The 14,966-nt window shown below is 38.3% G+C and overlaps 1 protein-coding gene across 3 annotated transcripts in view; it reads left to right on the forward strand.

Annotated features, from left to right (window-relative positions):
* Positions 1-14,966, forward strand: part of ADAM18 (ADAM metallopeptidase domain 18) — a 145,498-nt gene that overhangs the window by 87,341 nt on the left and 43,191 nt on the right. For all 3 annotated transcript variants that reach the window (NR_135201.2, NM_014237.3, NM_001320313.2), the window contains 2 exons: positions 5,523-5,628; positions 8,129-8,318. Coding sequence is in view for 2 of the 3 variants with exons in the window: in NM_014237.3 (NP_055052.1) it covers positions 5,523-5,628; positions 8,129-8,318 (296 nt within the window). In the remaining variant the exon portion in view is untranslated. The remainder of the gene's footprint in view (positions 1-5,522; positions 5,629-8,128; positions 8,319-14,966) is intronic.

Below are 14,966 nucleotides of genomic sequence, written 5' to 3' on the forward strand. Positions count from 1 at the left end.
TCTGAGAACCTGATCATGAGATAGAATAGAGGAACACAACATGGGATGGGGGGTATTTATTGTTTTGGAAACACTCTCCTAAAGTACAGCATTTAACATACTGGCATGGATCCTAGAAGACAGTAAAATCTTTCTACTAGGATGGCTTCCAGCAGCATGGAAAAAAAAAGATTACTCGCCCTAAGTGAAATTTAAATGACAGAATTGCCATAGCAGATAGTGGAAAAAAGAAGAAAAAGGCTCAGGGAAGTGGGAATACTGTAATCTATGTACTGTGTATTTAAGGCCAAATGATTTGGCCAAACAGGAAAGCCCAAGGCCATAAGGAATGTGCTAGAGAAAGGGATACCATATTCACCATAAATTTCAAAGATGGCTTCCTCTGCAGGTCAGAGTGGGAATGCCACTACACTCACCGGTAGCAATGGATATGATAAGATCTGGAAAAATCAAGACCAGATAGCAGTGCTTACCTACCAGAAGCCAGATGAATAATGTTGTTATAAGCAGTAGATATGCAGTAGCAGACATGGGTACCTTCCCTACCAAGTGTCAGGGAGAGAGTTAATATAATACGATTTCCCTGTGTTCTGTGAGCAGCCAATGAGGGTACTACTCAATTTGTTTCATTAAAGGAAATGTATAAAAATAGATGACCAGGAGACTGTGGAGAGTTGTCTCAGTAAATATCGCAATGTTAGGTCCACACTCTGAATCTAAACCAATTTTCAGAGCCAGAACTCATTGACTTAAGTGGGAGCAAGGGCCATAGAAGAAAATCCCCATAACACCTTGTTAACTGTTCCTCTCATATGTTCCCATATGGACTTACAACCATTTAATCACGTATCTGTTCACTGGGGAAAAGAAAATATCCAAACATTTTAAAAACTAGTGGACACAGACTGCATTGACATTAATATCCAGAAGCCCAATGTGATCATGGTCTCCCTGTGAGAGTGAGGACTTAGAGACACCAGGAGTTAAATAGAGTCCTGGCCAAGTTTCAGTTTACAGTGGGTCTGCTAGTTCCATAAATCCATTTGGTTGTTATTTCTCAGACCTAGTGTATATAATTGGAGTTGGCATATTTAATAGTTTGTGCAATTCCCTCAGTGGGGCTTTAATGTGTTTGATGTCTGTAACCGCCTGTTTCAAGAAATTAGTGCTACTTTTAAAGATCTAAAGGATGCAGGGGTGGTTGGCTATATATTACACACATTTAATTATTCAATATGATCCCTGCAGAAACAAGATGATCCTGGAAGATAATATTTAACTACTACAAATGTAATCAGGTAGTAGACTTGATTGCATTCACTGCGCCAGGGTATGTCCATGCTAGAGCAGATTAGCATGGCCTCAAATATGTGTGAGAAGTGTAACCCCTGATTTGGCAAGTGTATTATTATTATTATTATTTATTGTACTTTAAGTTCTAGGGTACATGTGCACAACGTGCAGGTTTGATACATAGATATACATGTGCCATGTTGGTTTGCTGCACCCATCAACTCATCATTTACATAGGTATTTCTCCTAATGCTATCCCTCTCCCCACACCCCACCCCCCAACAAGCCCCAGCATGTGACGTTCCCCGCCCTGTGTCCAAGTTATCTCATTGTTCAATTCCCACCTATGAGTGAGAACATGCAGTGTCTGGTTTTCTGTCCTTGTGATAGTTGGCTGAGAATGATGGTTTCTCTGTCTCTTTCAGTTCTGCTCTGATCTTAGTTGTTTCTTGCCTTTTGCTAGCTTTTGAATTTGTTTACTCTTGCTTCTCTAGTTCTTTTAATTGTGATGTTAAGGTGTCGATTTTAGATCTTTCCTGCTTTCTCTTGTGGGCATTTAGTGCTATAAATTTCCCTCTACACACTGCTTTAAATGTATCCCAGAAATTCTGGTACGTTTTATCTTTGTTCTCATTGGTTTCAAAGAACATCTTTATTTCTGCCTTCATTTTGTTATTTACCCAGTAGTCATTCAGGAGCAAATTGTTCAGTTTCCATGTAGTTGTGCGGTTTTGAGAGAGTTTCTTAATCTTGAGTTCTAGTTTGATTGCACTGTGGTCTGAGAGACAGTTCGTTGTGATTTCTGTTCATTTACATTTGCTGAGGAGTGCTTTACTTCCAATTTTGTGGTCAATTTTAGAATAAGTGAGATGTGGTGCTGAGAAGAATATATATTCTGTTGATTTGGGGTGGAGAGTTCTGTAGATGTCTATTAGTCCTGCTTGTTGCAGAGCTGAGTTCAGGTCCTGGATATTCTTGTTAACCTTCTGTCTCGTTGATCTGTCTAATATTGACAGGGGGGTGTTAAAGTTTCCCATTATTATTGTGTGGGAGTCTAAGTCTCTTTGTAGGTCTCTAAGGACTTGGTTTATGAATCTGGGTGCTCCTGTATTGGGTGCATGTATATATTTAAGATAGTTAGTTCTTCTTGTTGAATTGATCCCTTTACCATTATGTAATGGCCTTCTTTGTCTCTTTTGATCTTGGTTTAAAGTTTGTTTTATCAGATACTAGGATTGCAACCCCTGCTTTTTTTTGCTTTCCATTTGCTTGGTAGATCGTCCCCCATCCCTTTATTTTGAGCCTATGTGTGTCTTTGCATGTGAGATGAGTCTCCTGAATACAGCATGCTGATGGGTCTTGACTCTTTATCCAATTTGCCAGTCTGTGTCTTTTAACTGGGGGCATTTAGCCCATTTACATTTAAGGTTAATATTGTTATGTGTGAATTTGATCCTTTCATTATGATGTTCACTGGTTATTTTTCCCATTAATTGATGCAGTTTCTTCTCTACATCGATGGTCTTTACAATTTGGCCTGTTTTTGTAGTGGCTAGTACCAGTTCTTTCTTTCTGTGTTTAGTGCTTCCTTCAGGAGCTCCTGTAAGGCAGGCCTGGTGGAGACAAAATCTCTCAGCATTTGCTTGTCTGTAAAGGATTTTATTTCTCCTTCACTTATGAAGCTTAGTTCGGCTGGATATGAAATTCTGGGTTGAAAATTCTTTTCTTTAAGAATGTTGAATATTTGCCCCCACTCTCTTCTGGCTTGTAGGGTTTCTGCCGAGAGATCCACTGTTAGTCTGATGGGCTTCCCTTTGTAGGTAACCTGAACTTTCTCTCTGGCTGCCCTTAACATTTTCCCTTTCATTTCAACTTTGGTGAATCTGATAATTATGTGTCTTGGGGTTGCTCTTCTCAAGGAGTATCTTTGTGGTGTTCTCTGTATTTCTGAATTTGAATGTTGGCCTGTCTTGTTAGGTTGGGGAAGTTCTCCTGCCTAATATGCTGAAGAGTGTTTTCCAACTTGGTTCCATTCTCCCCATCACTTTCAGGCACACCAATCAAATGTAGATTTGGTCTTTTCACATAGTCCCATATTTCTTGGAGGCTTTGTTCGTTTCTTTTTACTCTTTTTTCTCTAACCTTGTTTTCTTGCTTTATTTCATCAATTTGATCTTCAATCATTGATACCCTTTCTTCCACTTAATAGAATCGGCTATTGATGTTTGTGCATGCCTCACGAAGTTCTCGTGCCATGGTTTTCAGCTCCATCAGGTCATTTAAGGTCCTCTCTACACTGTTTATTCTAGTTAGCCATTCATCTAATCTTTTTTCAAGGTTTTTAGCTTCCTTGTGATGGGTTTTAACATCCTCCTTTAGCTCGGAGAAGTTTGTTATTACCAACCTTCTGAAGCTTACTTCTGTCAACTCATCAAAGTCATTCTCCGTCCAGCTTTGTTCCGTTGCTGGCGAGGAGCTGTGATCCTTTGGAGGAGAAGAGGCACTCTGATTTTTAGAATTTTCAGCTTTTCTGCTCTGGTTTCTTCCCACCTTTGTGGTTTTGTCTACCTTTGGTCTTTGATGTTGGTGACCTACAGATGGGATTTTGGTGTAGATGACCTTTTTGTTGACATTGATGCTATTTCTTTCTGTTTGTTAGTTTTCCTTCTAATGGTCAGGTCCCTCAGCTGCAGGTCTGTTGGAATTTGTGGGAGGTCCACTCCAGACCCTGTTTCCCTGGGTATCACCAGTGGAGGCTGCAGAACAGCAAATATTGCAGAACAGCAAATATTGCTGCCTGATCCTCCCTCTGGAAGGGTCATCCCAGAGGGGCAGCCGCCTATATGAAGTGTCTGTTGGCCCCTTCTGGGAGGTGTCTCCCAGTTAGGCTACATGGGGATCAGGGATCCACTTGAGGAGGCAGTCTGTCCCTTCTCAGAGCTCAAATGTCATGCTGGGAGAACCACTGCTCTCTTCAGAGCTGTCAGACAGGGATGTTTAAGTCTGCAGAAGTTGTCTGCTGTCTTTTGTTCAGCTATGCTCTGCCCACAGAGGTGGAGTCTAGAGGCAGTAGGCTTTGTTGAGCTGCAGTGGACTCTGCCAAGTTTGGGCTTCCTGGACACTTTGTTTACCTACTCAAGCCTCAGCAATGGCTGATACCCCTCCCCCAGCCAGGCTGCCACCTTGCAGATTGATCTCAGACTGCTGCGCTAGCAGTGAGCAAGGCTCTGTGGGCATGGGAACTGTCGAGCCAGGCACAGGAGAGAATCATCTTGTCTGCCGATTCTAAGACCTTGGGAAAAGTGCAATATTTGGGTAGGAGTGCCCCATTTTTCCAGGTAGTCTGTCACAGCATCCCTTGGCTAGGAAAGGGAAATCCCTCGACTCCTTGCTCTTCTTGGGCAGGGGCAACGCCCCGCCCTGCTTCAGCTCGCCTTCCATGGGCTGTACCCACTGTCCAACCAGTCCCAGTGAGATGAACCAGGTACCTCAGTTGGAAATGCAGAAATCACCCATCTTCTGCATCGATCACACTGGGAGCTGCAGACTGGAGTTGTTCCTATTCGGCCATTTTGGCAAGTGTATTATTTTCTATTCCTATTTGAAAAGAAGATTAGAAACAGTTTACATTCACATAGAGTGGATAACAGGATTCATTTAGAATTTTTCTCCAGGGTTAAGTTTACTCTGTTTCCCTCCATCATAATATAGTAGAAGAGATTTGGACTTCCCATAAAATGTAACATTGGTCCAATCCATCAGTGATTTTATACTAGTCAGACAAAATAAGCAAAGTATAGCCAGCATGCTGGAAGGACCAAATAAACACATGTGCTACAAAGGACAGGAGGTAGACTCTGGAAAACTATATAAGTTCCAGAGGTTTCTGTCCATAAGTGACATGCTTCAAATTCCTCATTTCATTAAGAAGAGGAAGTTACAAGGTCAAGCCCAATATTCATTAGATTAAGAAGTATTTGCTCCCACCAGAAAGAGAAACATATTGTTTTAAAAATAATATAACTTATTGCAATAGATATAATCATTTTCTGTGTGTGTAAGATAAGACAATTATTTCTTTCTACTTGCATTGACAGGGTATGCATAGAAACAAAAGCATGATCAACAAGTACATGATCTTTTTGAAATTAAATTTCCTTAGTCTGTTACTGACAAACATTTAACTCATATTAAGAATGATAATTCAACTGACATGTTTGCATTTTAAGGTGCTCAAGGTGCTCCATTTGCCTGTTTTAAAGAAGTTAATTCTCTGCATGAAAGATCTGAAAACTGTGGTTTTAAAAATTCACAACCATTACCTTGTGAACGGAAGTACGTATGTAGAAAATGATTGCTTCTTTGAATCATAAAAATTATGTATTTTTATCAAGAGACACTAAGTAGTAATGAACACTAAAATTTTATAACATGGGAATATTTTCAAATACCAATGCATATATTTTTTCTATGAAATTCAGGATTTTCTATTATTTTCCCTTGATATCATCCTAAAAATGAGATTGGACAAAAAAAGGCTAATACTTAGTAACAGAAGAAGAAAATGGACACACACTGCCAGAAATCAGAACTGCTACTCTGTATTGAGAATTCAAATGAAGTTTTGTATTAAGTCTATAAATAGCAACAATCTTAAAGCAAACCTCAAGCTTTGATTTTTAAGACATAGAATTGTTGAGAAGAAGAAAGCTATTTTTGTTTTTGCTAATTGTGTCCAAAACATCAATATGTAAAGCATGGAAGTATCTATTAATAACTAAATTCAGACTATTGGGACATAGTGTTACTATAATCCATGTAATAAAGGGATTAATGAAATCCAATACTTTAATAAAGGAAGTGCCTACCCTGTAATGAATGCTTCCTTAATTTTATCTTCCTTAATTTCATTGAAAATTAAAGAGCCACAAAAATGTGTAACAGAGCCAGATTCACAAAATAAGAGAAAGGGAATAACATAAAAAATTTAGATATAATTAATTCAGGAAGAAGCAGACATTTAGTCTCAAAGACTTATAGCCAGGAAAAACCATAAAATCCTCAGGTAAGCACCACTATCAGTATTGTTCAAAGCAATACAGTTCCTTTATTAAGATGAGAAATGGATGAAGAAGGTATCCAGTTGGGTGGGACTAAAGTAGTATCCTCCATCACCCTCCTCCATATGTGAAATTACCATGGATTATGTATGCTGTGGAGAGGATGCAGAACTTCCCACTTGCCCCAACACAGGAGGATTAGTACATGGAAAGAAGAAAGGTGGAATCACAAAGAAAGTACTGATGAGTGGGGATCTCAGGAGGAGACCCGGCATAATCAGCCACACCTATTGGATATTAATACAGAGCACCAGGGGCCAGCAGTCTGAGTTACACCACAGTGGATCCCAACAAAGACAGAAGATGGTGGCATGACAACCCCACTTAATCTTCTTCCTGATGTCCAGAGGCACATCTGCTGCCTTTAATTTAAGATTATTCATGAAAAAAAGATAAAAGAAACCTGGAAGAAATTGTGAAAGTTAGCAAACATGACTCCATTGGACTTTGTCTTATGTGATAATAGTACATGAATTTTCCTGAAATAACATCATTAGATGAAACTAAAATTGAGTAGCATACATCGTCTGATCTAAACAGACTGTGATTCCTTTTCAAAAAAGAAAAAATAGTTCTAAGAATTTAACCATAAATGCAAATTTTGGGAAAATGGACTTGGAGGAAGAATTTGTACTCAGTAGCCAGACTGGAAGGATACATACATACCATGCAAGTCTGGTTTAGAATATATTCTATAGAAAGAGAGTGGAACCAAAATCAAAAGAAATATCAAGACCTGGGAAAGTAGAAAAGTTATGCTGGAGGGAAGACAAAAGTGAAATGTAATTTAGGTTCTGGCTCTTAATCTCATTTCAATCTTTACTTCTTGGTGTAATTAAGCTTATTCTTCTGAAAAAGCCTCAAATGATTCTTTTAGGACAAATGGGTAAAATTCCCTAAGAGGAGCCTTTTGATGAAATAATAATGACATGTTCAATAGAGACAGATCAATGGCTAAAAATGATTATTCTCATTGAGGATGAACTTTGATAATTAGATTTCAATAATTTCAAGTACAAAAAGTGACATAGATTATCTTTCAGAGCATAGTCTAGAAATACTCTTAGCCTCATAGAGAAGCCAGTATTTTACCCAATGATAGATTACAAATGGCAAAATACAGCATCCATGGGATAAGATAACCTTTGGTATGTTTGTGGCATAGAGGGGATCTAAAAGTTCTTAAATTTTTAACAGATAAGTTAAATATACTGGAAATATCTGTATGCTGGGAGAAATTGTGGATCAAAATGAAGGTTGTGTATACTGCAGAAATGTACTTTCTAGGTATCATGACAGGAATGATAGGCACAATAAAATGTGCAGAAAGAGAAATGCAATTAGCCACTCTCAGCAAATTTTGTTTAATAAGTGACCAGGCTGGCCAAGCTATATCAAAGTGGGGCAAGTGACTAATTCTCCCAGAGTGCGGTAAAATATGAACGGTCTAAGACAACTAGAACTTAGAGAACAAAATTGGGCTCTATAATGGGAATGAAGTCGTGTCTTCACGCTGAGTTAAGCATATACATTTCAATTCTGCTATTAAGACAGTTGCATTTAGTTGTTGTGCACCATAAAATAATGTTTCAGTTTGGCATTTTTCAGTTGTTATACTATCAATTAACAGTATGTTACCATTATGCAGTACTCACTTGGAACTTGTTATCATTAAGAGATAAACTGATAAGGAACTTTTTGCTTTCCACTTCCAGGGATGTTCTCTGTGGAAAATTAGCTTGTGTTCAGCCACATAAAAATGCTAATAAAAGTGACGCTCAATCTACAGTTTATTCATATATTCAAGACCATGTATGTGTATCTATAGCCACTGGTTCCTCCATGAGATCAGATGGAACAGACAATGCCTATGTGGCTGATGGCACCATGTGTGGTCCAGAAATGGTAACAAAATGTGATAATTTATATTCAGCTGTGTTAAATTATGTGAATTATCAGATACTGCATTCCATGATGACTATCACAATTATATTGAATGGATTTAAACTTGTGCTGGCATTTATTTCCCATGTGATATTTAAATGATAATTAAAACAAGCCTAAGTTATCCAATTACATTGCTTTTTGGATTAAAATATTATCAGTCCTTATGTTAAAAAAAGTACATATATATTTTAAGCACAAGATTTTACTAACTGACATCTGGTAGCTTTAAATTGTAAAATGCTAATACAAAGTTTTCCATTTTCCTTGCTTCACAAAGAACATTAATTGACTTTACATATTTCTTAAATTATTTGATTTGTATCTGATCAAAATATAAGTGTACAAAAGGTTTGGAACCAAACAAGAATCTATACTAGGAAACATTGCTATAGTGCATATACAGGCTCATGCGTATATACATGCATGAATATATATGAACACTTCTATCTATGTAGTCATAACATAAAAAGAGAACAAAAAGGCTTTAGAGACTTGGTTAATCTTGCAATATAAGGGCACATGTTCCAGAAAACATGATAATATGTGGCATCTGAAATTTCACATAGCAATTATAGAGTGTTGCACTTAAATGTCATTTGGTGCTTATTTGATGCGTAAAAATAAAACAAAACCTAGAAATGGAGGATGTGTTAGTCAATTGTTATATCTGGTGTCAGCAACCCTAATCCCTTGAGAAACCTCTATGTGGTAATCTGCTCCTGAAATGACTCTCAGTGATCCCACTTTCTGTCATTCATTCCTTTGTGTAATCCCTTCCTTTGCCTGTGGACTGCATCTAATGACTTGCTTTTAACAAATAAAATAGGGCAAAAGTTTTGGAATGTCACAAGATTAGAGGCTAGAGACAAGAAAGAAGATGAGAAAAGACAGTGACTTCTGTTTTGCATGGACTCTCTCCCTTGCCTTCTCAGATTGCTTGCTTTGCTGAAGCAAGCTGCCTTCAGGGAAAATCCTACAAGGAAAGCAATTGTGGGACAGTGAAAATCTGAGGCCCTCAGTTCAACAGCCTGTGAGGGACTGAATTCTGCCAAAACCACACAAGCAAGCTATGAAGAGCTTTGCAAGTCGGACCAACAGGTGAGACTACAGTCCCAGATAACAGATAACACCTTGATTTCAGCTTGTAAGAAGACTGTGAAGCAGAGAACCCAGATAAGATGTGCTTGAATTTCAGACTCACAGAAGTTGTGATATAATAAATACGTGTTGTTTAATGTCATTAATTTTGATGATAATTTGTTATGCAGCAACAGAAAACTGATGCAGATTTGATACCTGGACATATGGTGCTGCTGTAACAAATACCTTAAAAATTGGGTATGAATATAGAACCAGGAAGTGGGTAGAGACCAGAAGAATGTTGAAGACCAAGATACAGAAAGCTCATATTGCCTGAAACAGACCTTAAGTCCAACTCTGCACTTTGAGGACCTGGCTGGTGAGGGCTCAAGTGGTAGTTAGGAGTATATTATTGAAAACTGGAGGAAGTAAGGTTCTTTTTATTTAGTGGCAGAAAGCTTAGCATATTGTCTTCTACAGTACGTGGAAAGTAGAATGTGTACATAATAAACTTGGTGATCTAGCTTCTGACCCCTTCTAGCAGCTTATAATATAATAAGAAATGAAAGAAATTGAAGGAACTGTTAAATAAAACATAACCATTGATGATTTTGAAAATTCTTAACTTCTCCAGACAGCAAAAGATGCTAAAACAAAGAAATGGATTCCAAGAACTATCAGGAAAACATGGTCAAGAGTGAGACTGTAAAACATTAGTTAAGAGTAACAAAAGATTAGTCAAGATCAACTCTTAACTAATGTTCTACAGTAAAAGGCTCAGAGTGTTATTCAGTTAGACAAAAGTCCTTTAAAGAAAGAAAGGCTGCCTCACAGATCCTCTACATTTAAAAAAATAAGGCATCTGGAAACTTCAGAGCTTTGTCTTTCAGCCATCTCAGCAGAAGCCTAAGGTAGAAAACGGTTCATTTCAAAGATATTTGTGAGCATGTCTTTTGTTTAATGTAATAAATGCCAAAGAGATTCACGGGAGGTTCACAGTTTTTGAGAAACCGCCAGTAAAGAGAATACAAAATGAAAGGAGGCTATCGGACCCCCAAAATTCTACTGAGAGGAGGCAGGCTGAGATAATTGCTCAAAGTCAAATATGTGCTACCTTTCCTGAAAAAGGAAGGAATACTTAGAGAGTCAAATAAGAACTGAGAAGGCAGAACTGAGAGCCAAGAGAGATTTTTCACAGACCTTGAAACCCAAACAAGGAACTCCCAACATGAGCCCTTCTAGATATTTCAGAATTGCTATGGACCAGTAATTTCTTTTTAGTTCTAATCCCCCCCCACACACACTTTGAATTAAAATATCTATAAGTTATTCTATGCCTTTATTACCATTATATATTGATGGGCTTGGGGCCAGATTACTCTCTAGTGTCAAAGATCTACAAATGGAAGAGCTATACTCAAGGAAGTATACCCATGAACCTAATCCACAGCTGGAGCTAACTCAGATGAAGAAATAGGCTTTGAACTGATGCTATAATGAAATGAGAATGTTGGAGAGCTTGACAATTAATGTGGTTTTTATGTGTAAAAGATATGTAACATTAGAAGATAAACTGTGCTACTCAGCTTTTAAAATACCCTCCAATATCTTATCTTCTTCTGTTCACTCCCTTTATAATACACATTCCCTACCAACCAAGTGAGGGATGGACATAGTGACGTGCTTCTAACAAATAGAGTATGGAAAAAATGATGGAATATAACTTGCAACATTAGGATATAACAGACAGTATTTTCCGTTTTGTTCTCCTGCCCCTTCTTCATTGCTTACTTGGATGAAATAAGCTACCATGTTGAAGAGTAATACATGGGAAGAAAGTGAATATGGCCTCCATCCAAAAGACCTTGAGGAAATGAGCATGTTAATACAACAGCCTTCTGACAACCACGTGACAAATTTGGAAGCATATTCATTTTAGTAAAACCTTCAGATGAAATTGGCTGGCATTTTAATACCAGCCTATGCAAATATCTGAAGCAAAAGACCAAGCTATGCCATTCCCAGAATTCACCACTCACAGAAACTGCGATAATATGTGTATTGTTTCCTTTTCCTAAGATAAACTTCTAAGAGTGCAATTTCTGATTTGCAAGATAAGTATATTTTTGGTTCTATGAGAAACTGCTAGAATCTTTGGTCAAGTGGCTATGCCATTTTTCATTTCCACCAGCAGTGTGTAAGTGAGCAAGTTTCTTCATATCCTCAACAGCATTTGGTGTTAGCACTACTTATTATTTACTCATTTTTATATGTGCATAGTGATATTTGCATTCTTTAATGGTTAATTATATTCAGTATTTTCCATGAACTTATATGTCATCAGTGTATCCTCCTGAGTAAAGTATCTGATCATGTCTTTAGCCTATTTTTAATCAGATTGTCTTTTTTAAAAGTTCAATTTAATTGTTCTTTAAATATCCTAAAGGCAAGATGGCAAATATTTTCTCCTACTCTGTAGTTTGTTTTACTTACTTTTTTTGGTTGAATTGTATATTTAGTTTTATTTGACAAACAAAAATCACTTTGAAACACCAAGATGGGAGGATCAGTTGAGCTCAGGAGTTCAAGACCTGCCTGGGAAACATAGCGAGAACTTGTCTCTAAAAAATAATATTATTTTAAAAAATTAGCCAGGTATGGTGGCACACACCTGTAGTCCCAGCTACTTGGGAGGCTGAAGCAAGAGGATCTCTTGAACTCAGGAGATTGAAGCTTTCACACCACTACACTCCAGTCTGGTCAACAAAGCAAGACCTTATCTCAAAATAAATAAATACATAAAATAAATAGATAAATAAGTAAATAAACAATAAATTGATGAGTTTAGAGATAATTATACATCTGTGAAATGATCACTACCTTCCATGTCATAAGCTATTTATAACTTCCAAAATTTTTTCCCAATCTTTTATTTATTTATTTATTTATTTATTATTGTTACCTCTCTCATAGCAGCATTTAATATATGGCCTACCCCCTAGGAATTGTTTAAGTATATAATACATTATTGTTAACTATATAAACTGTGACATACAGTCAATCTCTAGGAATTACTTTTCTTGGATAACCAAAATGTTTTAACTGGGGCACGAACTGGGCCCCGAGGGCTCTGGGCAGCCCAATCTCAATGGATTTGCTGGTTACAGCCCATGCCACACCTCTCACAGGTTGGAATTGTGTGTCTGGGGCTCTCTTAGGCTAGAGTTTCACACCAGTGACTCAATCAGCCTGAGGTTGAGGGGGCAGTTCTGTACTCATTGTTGCCCTGGTGGGGGCTGTCTGTGCTGGCCTCACTCTTGCTCCCAGCTCCACTGGGCATTGCCCTAGTATGATGAGAGAAGAGACCACTTCTTATATAGTTTCTTATAATTTCTTATAATTTCTTGTTTGCTGAAAAGGTAAAAGTTAATAAGCAGAAGTGAAATTCATAGTCAGACAGCCCGGTGCCTCATTTCAGGCCTGGTAGTTAAAATTCAACCCCTGACCTCACCACTGTGTTATCCGTAGATTCTAGACATTGTATGAGGGAGCATTGTGAAACTCCCTGTTCTGTTCTGTTTCACTCTGATTACTGGTGCCTGCAGCCCCCAGTCACGTACCCCTCACTCGCTTAATTAATCACAACCCCCTCACTCTTTAAAGTTAGCCCTTAAAAGGGACAGGAATTACTTATTCAGGGAGCTCAGTTTCTAGTCAGCTGATGCTCCCAGCTGAATGAAGCTCTTCCCTTCCACAATCCAGTGTCTGAGGGATTTTGTCTACAACTCTTCCTGCTACAATGACAGTTCTCTGCCTGTGCTGTGAGGGCATCTGGGGCATCCTTTGAAGTCCAGGTGAAGGCAGCCATGCCTCCACAGCTTGTTCATTCTGGGCCCTTGTAAAGATGGCACCATGGAGACACCCCCAAGGTTGATTTGAATGTGCCGTCCAGAAGAACATCTCCTTGGGTCTCATCCCACCTGGGCCCAGTGGAGTCATACCCGATATGGTTGAAGAGCGGTTTGCTATAATGCAGGGAATAGAGACTTGAGGCATCATGAGCAGTAAGTGCCAAATTCCTGTGGGTGCATGAGGCTCCTCTTTTGACATAGATCTGCTCCTCAGGCCTGGTAACTCTGATCCTGTAATGGGAGTGGCAGCACTGATAATCTGTGAAATGCCTTCAGGGGCATTCTTCCATTGAGTTGGGGAATATCACCTGGTTTCTAAACCTTCTTAATCTCTTTTTCAAAAGGTGGCTTGGTCATATCCTTGGTGTTCGCTCCTGAACATGCTTTTTCATTCTTTACAACATGGCTGGGCTAAGAATTTTCCAAATTTTTTAGTTCTGCTTTCCTTTTCATTATAAATTCCGTGTTTAATATTTCTTTCTTTCTTCTCACACTTTACTATAAACTGATTTAAAAAAGCATGCTGCACCCTCCACCATCTGCTAACATATTTCTTCTTCTGTGAAGTATCTTATTTCATGGCTCAGAAATCCCACCTTCCACAAAACACTAGGACACAAACACAATTTAGCCAAGTTCTTTGACACTTTATAACAAAGATCGTCTTTCCCTCATTTTCCGGTACCTTGGTCCTCATTTCAATTGAGACCTCATCAAAATGGCTTTCACCTTCCATTTTCCTACCAATGCTCTGATCACAACCAGCTAGGTAACCTGTGAGAAAACTGAGGTTTTCTCTAAAGCTGTCCTTTTCTTCTGAGCCCTCACCAGAATCATCCTTAATTCTCCACTTACAGCAATGCAGGCTTTTTCTAGCAAGCACTTCCAAACCTTTTTCAGCCTCCGGTCAGTAGTGAGTTCCAAAGCCACTTCCACATCTTTAGGTATTTTTTATGGCAACATTCCACCTCTCGGTACCAATTTCTGTCTTAGTGCACTCATGCTGCTATAATGAAATAGCTGAGATTGGGTAATTTACAAACAAAAGGAACGTACTGCTTAACAGTTTTTGAGGCTGGGAAGTCCAAGATCAAAGTGCCAGCAGATTTAGTGCCTGGTTAGGACTCATTATCTGCTTCAAAGTTGGTACCTTACCGTGTCCTCGCATGACAGAAAGGGTGAACAAGCTCCATTGAACCTCTTTTATTAAGGCGCTAATCTCATTCATGGGGATTCTACCCTTGTGACCTAATCGCCTTCTACGGGATCCACTTTTTAATATGATTGCACTGGAGATTAGGTTTCAACAGGTGAATTTTGGGGAACACAAATATTCCGACCACAGCATGTTAATATCTTGGTTAAAGTGTTTCCTTTTTCATTTCTAAAATGACTATAGCTTGTTTATCTCTTTTGTTCTTAAATGATTACAATTTCTGACATACGAAAAACAACATTAATTAAGAAAAATTATTTTCAGACTCAGATATTTTTTATTCATTATTTGCTTTTAAGAAATGCGTAGGAATCAGAACTCTGTGCAATTGGAAGTTTCTTTGTTGAACTATTAGTTATTGCACATCACTTGCAGTGTATTATGTGACTAAAGGTATGT

Source organism: Homo sapiens, chromosome 8 (assembly GCF_000001405.40).
Source record: "Homo sapiens chromosome 8, GRCh38.p14 Primary Assembly".
Taxonomy (NCBI): Eukaryota; Metazoa; Chordata; class Mammalia; order Primates; family Hominidae; genus Homo; species Homo sapiens.